The sequence below is a fragment of the Homo sapiens genome, chromosome 9, assembly GCF_000001405.40.
Source record: "Homo sapiens chromosome 9, GRCh38.p14 Primary Assembly".
NCBI lineage: Eukaryota > Metazoa > Chordata > Mammalia > Primates > Hominidae > Homo > Homo sapiens.
The window spans coordinates 86987106-87002163 of record NC_000009.12 but is presented as its reverse complement, the minus strand read 5'-3'; the positions used below and the strand labels follow the sequence as shown (position 1 = coordinate 87002163).

The following is a 15058-nucleotide window of genomic DNA, read 5'->3' as shown; positions in this document are numbered from 1 at the left end:
AAAAAAGTTTTTTAAGTATACCAAAGCTGAAAAAATTCATCACCAGCACCTTCGGGCAGAAGGAAAACGATAGCAGGTGGAAATATGGATCTACACAAAGAAATGAACAACACTAGAAATTATAACTACGTGGTTAGCATATATTTTTATTATTTATTATTAAGTCTAAATAAATATTGTTTAAACAAAAATATTACAAAATCATGTAGAGTTTATAACATGTAGAAGCAAAATAGATGACAAGAATCGCACAATTACTGGAGGAAAATGAAAGTATACTACAATAAAGTTTTTATACTATGTGTTAAATAATATAATATGACTAGAACATAGAATGTGATAAGTTGAAGATGTTTACTATAAACCCTAAAGCAACCACTAAATTAGCAAAATAAAGTTATAGCTAATAAGCAAACAAAGAAGATGAAATAGAATTTTAAAATACTTGATATAAAAAAAGGCAAAAAAAGAGTTTTTTTGAAACAAAGAACAAATGGGACAATTAGATATTCAATACCAAAGTGGTAGATTTGAACTTAATACATATTAATAATCACAGTAAATGTAAATGATCTAAATACATTAATTAAAAAGCAAAGATCATCAGATTGGATAAAAAAGATCCAAATATATGCTGCATACAAGATATAGTAACATAATATAATATAAATCATATATGTAATGTCAATATAAAGATACATTGGGTTAAAAGAAGAAGGATGGAAAAAAGATATAGCAAGCTAACACTAACTGAAAGTAGAAATAGATAATTTCAGCTAGAAATTTCTAACTGAAAGTAATAATAGACAAATCCATGATTATAACTGGAAATATTGACACCTTTCACTAATTGATAGAGTGAGTAGAAAGAAAGTCAGTAATAATATAAAAGACTTGAACAACACTGTCAACTAACTTGACCTAATTCACAGTTACAGAACATCCCACTCAACAATAGCAGAAAACACATGATTTTTAAGTGTGCCACGAATGATTACCAAGATAAACCATACTCTGTGCCTTATAACAAGTCTCAATATACATAAAAGAATGCAAGTCATACAAAGTATTATCTCTGACCACAATGGAATTAAATTTAAAACAGGTAACAGAAAAATATCTAGAGAAAAAAATGGATACAAAGGGGGAACATAACTTCACATTCTGCTGAGATTTAAATAATAAGGGGTTATTAATACAACTTTAATCTGACTTGAAGATGTAAACGAAAAGTAGAAGTTTCTGGAAAAATAAGCTGTATTACAAAAATAAAATAATGATTTAAAAAATCAGTATTTTATCTTCCTCCAAAAGGTCTAGAATTAAGTGCCTTTGTAGTGAATTCTGCCAAGTATTTAAGGAGCAATTAATTTCAATAATACATAAATTATTCCAGCTGGTGAAAAGAGGAAACTGTCTTCAACTCACTTTATAAGTATTATATAATCCTTGTACCAACCAGGCAAGGACAGTATAGGAAAGCAAAGGCATCAGCCAATCATACTAAATTCATTAATGTTTGTAGAAGATATCATGACCAAGTTAACTCAGAAATGTAAGGCTGGCTTAACACTCAAAAAAATCAAAGTAAAGGAAAAACTACAGTAACAAAAAGCAGATCCATGGTTTACTGGGGCTGGAGAGAAGGTGAGTATTAACTGCAAAGGGGCCTGATAAACTTTTTGTGGTGATGGAAAAGTTCTAAACCTGTTTATTGTGTTATTCGCATACATTTACCAAAACTTACTGGACTGGATACTCTAATAGGGTAAATTTTATTATATATAAATTATGCCTCAATAAACCTGATTTTAAAATATCAAAATAATAAATCTTTATACTAATTTTTAATAATCATGTGATCATCTCAATAGAAATGCAATGGAGAAATTTTGATAAAATTTAACATTGATCTATAATAAAATCTCTTAATAAACTAGAAATGAAACAAATCTCTTAACCTCATAAAGACTCTCTACAGAAAACTTACAACAAACATACCCAATTATGAAAGGCTGATGCAAGAGCAAAGACCAAAGGCCAGAGTAGTGCCAATACTGGAAATCATAGAGAGTGCAGCAAGGCATAGAAAAAAATTAAACCTGTAAAGATTGTGGAAAAGAAATAAAATTATCTTTATGATGAGTTATAACACAATTGCATAGAAAATCCAGTAGAATAGGCCAGGGCGCAGTGGCTCACGCCTGTAATGCCAGCAGTTTGGGAAGCCAAAGCAGTCGGATCACCTGAGGTCAGGAGTTTGAGACCAGCCTGGCCAACATGGTGAAACTCTGTCTCTACTAAAAATACCAAAAATTAGCTGGGCATGGTGGTGGGAGCCTGTAATCCCAGCTACTCAGGAGGCTGAGACAGGAGAATTGCTTGAACCCGGGAGCCGGAGGTTGCAGTGAGCTGAGATCATGCCACTGCACTCCAGCCTGGGCAACAAGAGCGAAACTCCGTCTCCAGGAGAAAAAAAAAAAAAGAAAATCAAATTGAATAAATAAACTCTTAGACATTCTAAGAGATTTTAACAGGTTTACTGAATACAAATCTACATTTTAAAAATCCATTAAAGTTTTCTATGTGAAATAGTTAAAAATGTATATATTTTTAAAAATACCATTTATAACAGCATCAAAAATATTAAATACCTAGATATGAATCTAAACAAAAGATAAGGCCTCTAAAAAGACAATTATAAAATGTTATTGGAAGAAGCCATAAATTGGTGAAAAAATAGATCATATTCATAGATTGGAAGTTACAATACAAGAAAAAACTGCAAACTTGCCCAAATTGATTTAAGGATAAAAAATTTTGCCTTTTATTTTTTCGTACCTGACAAGTTAACTGAAAAATGTAGGTGGAAGCACAAATGAACGAGAATATCCAAAACACCCCTGGATTTAAAAACAAAAGAAACAGGGTTGGGAGTGGGTATTTGCCTAATTAGATACCAAGAATTACTACAAAATTATATAATTAAGACAGTTGAGTATCATTGGAGAAAAAATGCATATCAATCAAATGCATATAATTTTCATATCATAAATCAAATGAAAATTTGATTTATGACAGAGCTAGCATTATAGTTCAATGAAAGAGAGAATAGGCTTTTCAACAAATCATGTTAAAACAATTGGTTGCCTAAAAGAACCTAGCCAAATGCCACCATGTTGACTTCTCAGGCAGAGCTTGAAAGGTGAAAGACCCCACTGCTGAAAAGTAAAGAAAATGGGAATCAATCCAAATGTCACCCAAGGCCTGGCATGTAGCACACGTCAATACCTAGTATTATTATTATTACTTTATTATTTCCCAGCCGTCCTAAATCTTAATAGCCATTCTTCCATTGAGTTTTTCAGTTCCACACTCTGCTTCACCTCTGTAGATGGGACCTGTTTTCCTTCTGAGAAGGGATTGTCACCAGGTTATCACCCCCACACCTAGGATACCTTTGCATAGTATCTGAAGCTGGATTATTTGGGCTCAATTTGTAGTTCTACCACATAGCAGTGTGTTGCCTTGAACAAATTACTTAAATTCTTGGGGTCTCAGTTTCTTCATCTGTAAAATAAGGATAATAATAGGATTTGTCTCAGGATTATAATGAGGGTTAAATAAGTTAATACTTGTATAGTGCTTAGAACAGTGTCTGGTACACAGTAAGCTCTATGTAGATTTTACTTTTTATCACTAATAACAAATTGATTAACTTTATTAACATACAATTTTAATATTATGTCTCATCACTCTAGAGATAGTCTCCCTTAGAAATGGAGAACTGTATGACAGGTTTTTCTATGGAGTACTACTGTGTATTTGGATTCTTAAAAATGCAAAGATATAACGTAGAATAATTGATTTGAGCTTTGTTTTCATGAGTTTTACTTCTCTCTCTGCTCCTTCATTTCTAATTTTTTTATTATTGTTCAGTACAAGTATGATAAAAATTATCCACATCTGTTATTTATCTTTCCATCCTGGGGCAAGGCAAATGTGTATAGTTCCCCCCAGGATAACACGAACCATATGGAGCCTATGGAATTATATGTATTATCAGTTTATAAATTCAGACTTTGCCAAAGACTGTCCACAAGCAGCCCAGAGTTCTGGGGTGCAAGAGTTTGCACTGGGATGTTTATATTCAGCAAACATATTGGTGTAAAACATGCTTGCAGCTGGTGCCTCCTCAGAGAGAGGGGGCTTGACGGTGCTTTGCTGCACATTAGGATCGCCTCAGAAACTTTAAAAAATATCAGTGCTGAGGCCATACTCCATACCAATTAAAATAGAATCTGTTGGGTAGGATCAGTGGTATCAGTATTTTTGGTTTTCCAAATTCTCCAGGTGATTCCATTGTGTAGACAAGCTTGAGAACACCAAAAGCTTTAGAAAAGAAGATTTTGCATCTTTTTGGCCCCTATAGGAACATGCCTAGGAACACAAACACACCCTCATTTGGAACCAGTTTTTGCCATCTCCAGTATACGATGCACACACCTGGGTAGAAATTTCATCTTGCTCAAATCCCAATTAGCATCCCTGAAGTACTATACCTCAAGAATATCCTTCTTAACAACAGCAAGCACTGATTTGACTAGACTAAAGATGATTTAATCTAGCCGTATTGAGAGGGAGAAAGAAAAGAGAGAGAGAGTAAAGAAACACAATCCCCATCCATCCAATTTTCAAGTCAATTGCTACTCATTCAACAAATTACATCCTGGGCTTAACACAAATTCTGTATCTGTTACCCTTAATCACATGCAGTTGTTCCTCAAACAGAGACCAGAAGGTGGCAACCAAGGTAAGCTCCTTACATCAGCTGGCTCCAATTCAGTGTCCTGGAAAGATTCATGCAGAATTGTGGGTCACTTTTCAGAGGACGGTCCACTGGATGCCACTCTTAAGGCCATTTGCTTTGATTTCCTATGAGCAATTTCACTTTCATGAAAATCTCTGGGTCCTGCAATTCCTTATGATGGTCTCAGTGCCTACAGAATCCTTTCCCAAGTTTTCCTCTTGTTGCAGAGAAACAATGAGGCATTTAAGTTACTAGCAAGAGCTGTGTTGCCATCAAGAATTGAATTCCTCATTTTGTTTTCTTAAATATTAAATAGAAGTAATATTTCAGCCGGGTGTGATGACTCATGCCTATAATCGCAGCCCTTTAGGAGGCTGAGGCAGGTGGATCACCTGAGGTCAGGAGTTCGAGGCCAGCCTGGCCAACATGGTCAAAGTCCCTCTCTACCAAAAATACAAAAATTAGCTGGGCATGGTGGTGGGCACCTGTAATCCCAGCTGCTCGGGAGGCTGAGGCAGGAGTATCGCTTGAACCTGGGAGGCGGAGGTTGCAGTGAGCTGAGATCGTATCACTGCACTCTAGCCTGGGTGACAAAAGCGAAACTCCATCTCAAAAAAAAAAAAAATAGAAATAATATTTCAAACAATAATTTTCCTTTGTATGTTAAGTTGCTTTGCTGTATAGAACCTGTTCCTGACTGCTTTAGGTAAATGATTTTAGTGATTACAGATTATCTGTAAAATGAGTAATTATTTAATAACATGATCTCCAAGGCTATTTCTAGTCCTTAAATCTAAAATGATCTGAATTTGAGCATTTAGAGGTGGTAGTGTAGTTGAAAGACAGACAAAAGTTCAAGTACCAATTTCACTACATATTTTGGACAAGTTACTTATTTTTTCTGGGCCTCAATTCCTACACCTCTAAACAAGGAGCTGATTATGGTATTTGCCTCCTACGTCTGGAAAGTCAGGTAGCAAAGCATGGGTTCTAGAGTTAGGCTGCATGGCTTGAACCACAGTCCAAGCAGACTCAGCTATGTCACTTTGAACAAGGTATGTAACATCCTTCTACTTCATTTCCTTCACCTGTAAAATTGGAATATGACAATGAATATTTCATAAGGGAATCATGAAATGATGTAAGTTAATGGATATTGAATTTAGCACAAAACCTGTGTTAAATAACAAACATTTAAAAATAACTATTGCTATCATCACCATGTCATCAGTGTAAAATAAGATTGCACAGATAAAGTACAGATGCTAGAGACGTGCACACTATCATCCTCCTTGTCTTCCCCTCCCCTTATTTCCATAAGATTCTCCAGCTGCAACATCTTCCTAACATGTTAGATTTAACCTGTGGGATCCCTGAGGATATGGAAAATTGGCTCATTTTTCACTCTCTAATGCTATTCCCTGTACTCAGTAAACACTCAGGGAATGAATAAATGAATGAATAAAAATGTTCGCGAATTAAGTGAGAGATGTGATAAACTGGGAAGTGATGATGAAGTGAGAGTCCTTAGAGAAGCCTCAGAGTAGAGATGTGAAATTATTTATACAGAGGGAGGAGGGGAAAAATTAATGGATAATAACAGAAGTTCTTAAGGAGCATGTGAGAAAGAAATTAAACTTCCCCATCTATGAATATGCCTAATGGAGTCAAAAGTTATATGTAGCATTAAGCCCATCCTCGTACTTCACCAGCAGTGTGGCTATCAGGGGCTTTCAGGGACGTTCTGTGGGAGATCAAAGCTGCCTTCCATGATGTCAACACAGAAGCTTAAATGTTCAGTTTATATACTTGTGACTAAATAATACACATCTAGATAGAGGAAAACTAAGAAAGTCACTATGGGTTCTAAATGACAAGTGTGGAAAGCACACATCTATCCTTCACTTTCAGATCCCCTTTGAACTGCCACACCAAAACAAAAACAAAGAAGAATACCTGTGCAAGGGACTATTTAAGAATGTCATACGTATACTAAAAATCTTAAGCACGCATCTATCCTTCACTTTCAGATCCCCTTTGAACTGTCACACCAATACAAAAACAAAGAAGAAATACCTGTGCAAGGGACTATTTAAGAATGTCATACGTATACTAAAAATCTTGAGGAATTTCTGTGAGATGTCTGGGAAACAGGGCAGATTGAGGAAAAAGTCTGCCAATCACAGTTCACTGCATGAGAAGGTGCCATTTTCTCAGCAGAATCTCACCAACTTCTAAGTGCCAGAGCTAAGGTCAGTCTATAACACAGCATTTGTAGGAAAAGTTTGATCCTAGCAGGCACTGAAGGTCACTTGGAGTAAGGACCCCATGAACACACTCACTCCCAATTATCCTGATGTCTGAAAGTAGGATCAGGCAATAAGCAGGGAATTTGAAGAGGCAGTTATGCCAAGGGGAGGTGGGAGTCTCAGAACCAGCTGGGAAACCAGTGACAAACAGGAAAAAAGAACTCTTTGGAACCCAGGTGACACTGCCTCTAGCTCTGACTCCTTCCTTATTTCTTTTCATTTTCTGAAATTTTGTGTTAGTGAAATAAAATTACAGAAAATCTAATCTTTTCCCTTCTCTCTTTACCTACACCACTCAATGCCTTAAAAATATTTCTTAGTTTTCCAAAAAGGTAAAATACAAAATTTTCTTTCTGCAGGAATGAGCAAATGGACACAAAGTGCCAGGCACAGAAATTAAAAATGTCTTCTAAAGGTTTTAAGGAATCAGAAACAATATCCTCTCAAGAAACAGAATTATTATGTGAAATATGTCTGGAAATAAACTTAAGAAAGTCTGGAATTAATATTCTTGATAGGATTTAGAAAACTATTAAATAAGCAGTCAGGCGAGAGGGAAATGCAACTTGAGATAAGAATATAATTGTGTAATTTGAAACCCTAGTAATGGCAGGGAGAGGCTGAGAACATATTGCAGCAAAGAGAAACAGTGATGCCCAAGTTAACTTTCAGAAAAAGAAAAATACATGTTATATTTGCTTTTACTTGCATGAAAAAAACTGTGGAAGGTACACAAAATACAATAAAGGTAATTAAATATTGTTGGTAGTAACAGTGGTAATGGGCAGATGGGAGTGGAATGGGAGAGAAACTTCCACCTAAAAAAGAAACTTGTGTAAAAGAACCTTATATGCCTGATCTCTGCTACAAGTTTGCTATTTTAAATTACTGATATTAGTGGTATCACAGAATATTTGTTCTTCTGTGTCTGGCTTATTTTGTTTGATATAATGTCTCTCAGCTTCATCCATGTGGCAAATGACAGGATTTCCTTCTTTTTTAAGCATTAAGCCAACCCCCTTTTTAAGGCTGAATAATATTCCATTGTATGTATGTATCACATTTTCTTTGTCTATTTATCTGTTCATGGACATTTAAGTTGTTTCTGTGTCTTTGCTATTGTAAATAATACCATAATGAATATGAGTGTGCAGACAGCTCTTGGAGAATTTGGTTTCAGTTTTGCAGGGTATATACCAAGAAGAGGGATTGCTGGATCATCTGGTAGTTCTTTTTTTAAGTTTTTGAGGAACTGCTCTGTTTTCCACTGTGGCTATATCAATTTATAGTTCCAGAAAAAGGTGTACAAGAGTTTCCTTTTCCCTATTTTTTTGATAATAGCCATCCAAAAGGTGTGAGGTATTACTTCATTGTGGTTTTAATTTGCATTTCCCTTATAATTAATAATATTGAGTACTTTTTTATATATTTGTTTAAGATTATTTATGTTTTTTTACAAAGTGTCTATTTGGGTCTTCTGCCCATTTTAAAAGTCAGATTGTTTTTCTGCTATTGAGTTGTAGAACTAACTCATATATTTTAAATATTAACTTTTAATCAGATGTATGATTTGCAAATATTTTCTCCCATTCCACAGGTTGCCTCTTCATTCTGTTGTTTCCTTTGCTGTGCAGCAGCTTTTTAGGTTGATGTAGTCCCATTTATTTATTTTTGCTTTTGTTGCCTGTGCTTTTGGTGTCATATTCAGGAAATTATTACTAAGGTCAATATGAAGAATCTAGAAATTTGTATTTATTTAACTTTTGAACAAAGTTAATGTGTTACATATTCAAAAAATAAATAAAAACCATGAAAATTTCTATTTTAAAACATGCTATTTAAAAAGGTAATGCCAGAAGAAAAGATAATACTTTAAAGTGACTTCTGAAGAGAATAAATACAAGTAATATATGAGAATCTGCCATTTTTTTCAAAAGCTTTTAGCTTTTGACTTGTAAAACTGTGCATATGTGTTTTTACATCAAAAACACAAAATTAAAAACTTCTCCAAGAAATTGAAGAAAAAAGATTATAGAGTTAGTGAGAAAGAGAGCTATATATATTACCAAAAGGAGAAAACAAAACAGAGAGTGAGAAAGTAATCAAAGTTATAATAGAAAAAAAATGTATTGAACTAAAAGCAGGGGTGTCCAATCTTTTGGCTTCCCTGGACCATACTGGAAGAAGAATTGTCTTGGGCCATACATAAAATACACTAATACTAATGATAGCTGATAAACTAAAAAAAAAAAAAAGGGCCAAAAAATCATTTATGTTGGGCTGCATTTGAAGCTGTCCTGTGGGCTGCAGGTTGGACAAATTTGAACTAAAGCATTTGTGTTGTTAAAGCAAATAGGCTCACTGAATATGAGGCAAAATAAATAAAGACAGACATGGAGACAAATCCTTTGGAAACATATTTTTGAGAGGATATAGCAAAAGATTTCATACTGGCAAAAGATTCTCCTCTACAATACTAAATCGTAGCTATTGCTTTTTCCTGTTTCCATCTTCAGCACCAGAATATCTTTCTTTTTTTTTTTGAATGGAGTCTCGTTCTGTCTCCCAGGCTGAGTGCAGTGGCGCGTTCTCACCTCACTGCAACCTCTGTCTCCTTGGTTCAGGCAATTCTCCTGCTTTAGCCTCCCGTGTAGCTGGGACTAAAGGCATGTGCCACCACACCCAGCTAATTATTTTGTATTTTTAGTAGAGACGGAGTTTCACCATGTTGCTCAGGCTCATCTTGAACTCTTGACCTCAAATGATCTGCCCGCCTCAGCCTCCCAAAGTGCTGGGATTACAGGCTTGAGCCACCGCACCCGGCCAGCACCAGCAATATCTTAATGGCAAGCATTTATGGTTGCTAAGATCCAGGCACAGTGCTTAGGGTTTGCATGTGATTTTTCCTTGAATCTTCAGGACCATGCCATGAGATGGGAATTTAAGTATCAGAAATGCTAAATAACTTACTCAAGGACGCAAAGCCAAGAGCTGAACTGATGCATTCTGACTAGATGATCAATATTCCTTATCACTGAACTCTATAGGAATAAAAAAATAAGGTTGTAGTTTACAACCCCAACTGCAAATTAGAATCTCCTAGAAAGATTTTTAAAATCTTGCTTCACTAATGGTGAGTCTGGCTTAACTTGTCTGAGGAAAGAGTGTGGATATTAAATTTATCGAATAACATTTAAATTCTAGTGTGAAGCCAAATTTGACAGCCACTACATCAGAGCAAAACCTAGAGAGTTTTGAGGATAAAAAATGTGCTCTAAGCAGGATTAAAGTAAGGTGAATGAAGTCCTGAGGTGCAAAATTTTAATGAACACCCAAAAATTCAGTAATCAGGAGAAACAATATTTACTGCAATTTTTAAAAATAAGAATTAAATGAAATGTAATGAATTATAATTCATGCTGGATGAAATACTAAAATTTTAAATTGGGGAGATCTGATGTTGCACCTGTATGACTCACCCCACCCTAATCTTGCCTTGTCAAACTCTATTTCAAATTTTTATATTTTGTCTATCATAGATTTTAGCATAATTTTTATTTTTTAAAATACTTCATTAAAGTATTCTGTCTCTTGATATTTTAGGTTTGTGTTTGTTTGATTTTGGCTTTCTGACATGAAGAATAGGGAAAAGTACATCCACTCCATCTTTCTGGGTGTCCTAAGAGTTTTACATCTAATGAAACAGTCAAGTGAAAGCAAGTGAAAGTCATCCTCAGAAATTAAAGTCTTCAAGTAGAGTTTCACATATATACTCTTCTTTCAAACATTGCTCAAAGGGCCAAGCATGGTGACTCACACCTGTAATCTAATCTCAGCACTTTGGGAGGCCAACATGAGTGGATCACTTGAGGCCAGGAGTTCGAGACCAGCCTGGCCAACACAGCGAAACCCCATCTCTACTAAAAATAAAAATTAGCCGGTTATGGTTGTGCGTGCCTATAATACCAACTACTTGGGAGACTGAGGCAGGAGAATCGGTTGAACCGGGAAGGCAGAAGTTTCAGTGAGCCAAGATCGTGCCATTGCACTCCAGCCTGGGTAACAGAGTGAGACTCTGTCTCAAAGAAACAAAACAAAACAAAAGAAACAAAAAAAATTGTTCAAAGAAATACTATAACATATTCAAGAATGAGGAAGGCGTAGTATTTTCATCAAAGATGAACAATGAAATCAGAAAACTACAAATAAGTCTAAATAATTATTGTTAATGTGAATATTAAGCATAATGCAAATATCAACAATAAGTCTTAAAATAGAAGACATATACTATAAAAAAATACTGTGTATCTAAAATTCTAATATATAAAAAATTGAAAAGAAATATAGAAAAAGCAGAAATAAAAATATATTAAATGTATTACCTTTCAGAGAGGAAATGGAGCGATTCTACTTTGTTCTTTGCAATTTGCTTTTTTCAAGTGAAACTCACGTAATGTAAAATTAGCCATCTTACAGTGAACAATTCAGTGGCATTTAGTACATTGAGAATATTGTGCAACCACCACTTCTATCTAATTCTAAAACATTTCATCACCCCAAAAGGAAACCCTATACCCATTAAGCAATTGTCCTATTCTCCTTTCTCCCAGCCCTTGGTAACCATCAATCTGAATTCTATCTCTATGGATTTACTCATTCTGAACATTTCATGTAAATGGAATTATGCCATACTTTTGTGTCTGGCTTCCTTTACTTAGCAGAATGTTTTCAAGGTTTTTCATGTTGTAGCACACATCGGTAAAACATTATTTTTATGATTGAATAAAATTCCATTGTATGCATAACGACATTTTATTCATCCATTCATTGATGGACAATTGGGCTGTTTTTACCCTTTGAGTATTGTTAATAGTGCTGCTATGATCATGTGTGTACATGTATTTCTTTGAGTCTCCATTTTCCAATTCTTAGAATAAAACATAGGAATCTTGGATTTAACAATGATTCTTAGATGTGATACTAAAAGCACAAGCAAAAAAGAAGATGAATAAATGGACTTAATAAAAAATAAAAACTTTTGTGCATCAAAGGACATTGTCAAGAAAGTGAAAAGACAACCCACAGAATGGGAGAAAATATTTGCAAATTATGATTTGATAAGGGTCTAGTATCCAAAATACATACAGAACTCTTACAATTCAACAGCAAAAAAAAAAAACACCCAATTTTTTAAATGGCAAATGACTTGAAGAAACACTTCTTCAAATAAGCTATACAAGCAGCCAACAAGCACTTGAAAAGATGCTCAACATCATTAGTCATTAAGGAAATACAAATCAAAACCACAATGAGGTACCCCTTCACACCCACTAGGATAGCTATTAACCAAAAAGGAAAATAACAAGTGTTGGTGAAGATGTGGAGAAACTAGAGTCCTCATATATTGCTGGTTGGAATAGAGAATGGTTCAGGCACTTTGGGACAGTCTGGCAGTTCTCAAAAGAAATAAACATATTAAGTTTGTATCCTAGCAACATCCCCTTTCAAGGTACCAGTTTCTGCAGTAGGTATGGCCAGCTAAGTTGCAATGAGAAAGGGTTGTTGTGCTAATACAGATGAAAGAGCATGGTGGCTTAGACTAGAGTTTTAGCAATAGAAATGACAGGACATGGTCAGATTCCAGATGGAACTGAGACACAGAATCAACAGGACAGACTGATACATGACATATGGGGGGACTGGGAAAATTGGTAAATAACCTTCCAGGTTTTTGGTCTGCATAACTGGGTGAGTTGGTGAGGGGTAGGGGGGGACACATTTTCTGAAATAGGAACATTTGACATTTGACCTGAATGAAATACAAAAGACGAAAAGCAAGTATTTCTGGGAAGAATGTAGCAAAAAGAAGAAACAGTAAGTGCAGAGACTTGAGGAATGAAATGAGCTTGGCTAATTTGTGGAACGAAAAGAAGGTTAATGTGGCTATGCTGAGAGTTGGGGGTTTTCTTGCCACTGAAAAAAGATCACTTCAGTTTGCCCTCTTTAAAATGATAAGAATTACTGATCGTTTTAATTAAGTACAGTACTAATTACTGTACATGGTATACCCAAAACAGGATGAGATATTATCAACTTTAAAACTTGCTGAAATTGATTTGTAATTTTAAAAAAACATACCTTTAGTTATGAGGTAGATGATTTTAAATTATTTTCTGAAAAGTTCAACAGTTCTAAATCATTTTGTGTACATTTTTTCGTGTCTTCAAACAAGGCAGGCAAACACTGTTTTTAAAAAACAAGTATACACTTAAAAAATAGGTATACACTTTCAAAAAGTTCAAAGAAGTATTCAAGGCCTTATCTACTAGAAACAGAATCTTCACAAAGTAATATTATTCAAGTAATTACAGATTGATAATATTAATATTTAATATTTGAATAATTCAAAAGACAGCAAAATCTTATTTTACCTCTTATATTTCAGTGTTGTCCAGGCCTTAGCTTGGTTAAAATACTTAGTTGTTAGAACTGTATGGCAAAACCCGATAGCGCAAGTGGAGTGCTAAAAGTTAGACCACTGAGCCTAAGGCCACAGAACAAGGCAGAGGCTGGATGAGGAGGGTCTCACAGACCAAATCTGGTTGTGGGGGATCTGGTTGGCATGAATTACAGCCACCAAATCTTCACATCACATGTTCTGCTGTGTTAGTTTAGACACTGCCTAAGTAGGTTTCTACCACACAGAATTATTTTTGGCACGAACACCCACTTTCATATGCTAAATAAGTATGTTCAAACTTCTCTCCTTCTCTTTGAATATAATGTTTCCTTGGTCTAATGTAGACAATCACAGTATTTTGTATTCAGAGAAAACTTTTGATGCATGAGATTTCAAGTATGTACTTTGGCAAAATAAACAGCTCTAATAATTCTCCCAGGTCCCTGATGTCCCAATTGCATTGGAACTTGCAGTTTTCTTGGCAGGGGCGGGGAGGGGGGCCACTGGGCCAGTTCAGATACCATTCTGCCTCTATCCCCCCTACTCCTTCATATTAGATAATATGCTAAAGAACTGCACATCATACATTTTCTTCTGAGAAGTTTTTCTCCAGGAAGTTGAGCTTCCATGGAGGGTCACCTCCTTTTAAAGACCTTCCTTACTCTTCCTCCTACTTCCCCCGCTCCTAACTTCCACTCCCTGCTGTAGTACCCCCAGCAAAATTAATTCCTTCCTCCTTTTCAAGCTCCACCTTACTCTGTTGGAATCTCTACCATGGCTTGGTTGTCAGGATTATGAGCTTTGCAATTAGAAAGACCTAGATGTGAATTCTAGCTACTCCATTAACTAGCTGTGTGCATTTGGGTCTCAGAGGCTCACCTCTAACACAGGCATGACAGTTGGACTGACCACAAAGAATTGTTATAAATATCATAAAAGGCAGTATTTACAAAGTACTTGGGACAGTACCTGGGGCAGGGGAGGTGCTTGATCACTGGTAGTCATTAACAGTAGTAATCCCAGTAGTGTTTCAACATTGTTATCACTATTTTGGCAATTATGATAGCTTTTTGCGTATACAGTTGCCCCCTTCTCCGACTCCCATTCATGGGTTCCACATATGTAGATTCAATAAACCTCGAATAAAAAATATTTGGAAAAAAATTTCACCTGTGTTAAGCATGTACAGACTTTTTTTGTTATTGTCCCTTAAACAATACAGTATAATAACTATTTACATAGCATTTACATTGTATTAGATGACTTAGAGTATAAGGGAGGATGTGCATAAGTTATATGCAAATACTATGCCATTTAATATAAAGGACTTGAGAATCCACAGATTTTAGTATCCATAGGAGGTCCTGACACCAATCCCCAATGGATACTGAGGGACGATTGGACGTGTTCACTTATCTTTCTTTACTGAGTTGTCACATATCTTTCTCTACTGAGTTGTTGCTAAGCCCTGTAATGACA

General features: G+C 35.3%; 1 long non-coding RNA gene across 1 annotated transcript in view; it reads right to left on the bottom strand.

Annotated features, from left to right (window-relative positions):
- Nucleotides 1–130: 130 nt before the first annotated feature.
- Nucleotides 131–15058, bottom strand: part of GAS1RR (GAS1 adjacent regulatory RNA) — a 53336-nt gene continuing 38408 nt past the window's right edge. The window contains exons 4-7 of the long non-coding RNA NR_049794.1: nt 14549–14716; nt 13258–13362; nt 4761–4850; nt 131–3570 (exon numbers count right to left, since the gene is read on the bottom strand). This is a non-coding gene — a long non-coding RNA (GAS1 adjacent regulatory RNA). The remainder of the gene's footprint in view (nt 3571–4760; nt 4851–13257; nt 13363–14548; nt 14717–15058) is intronic.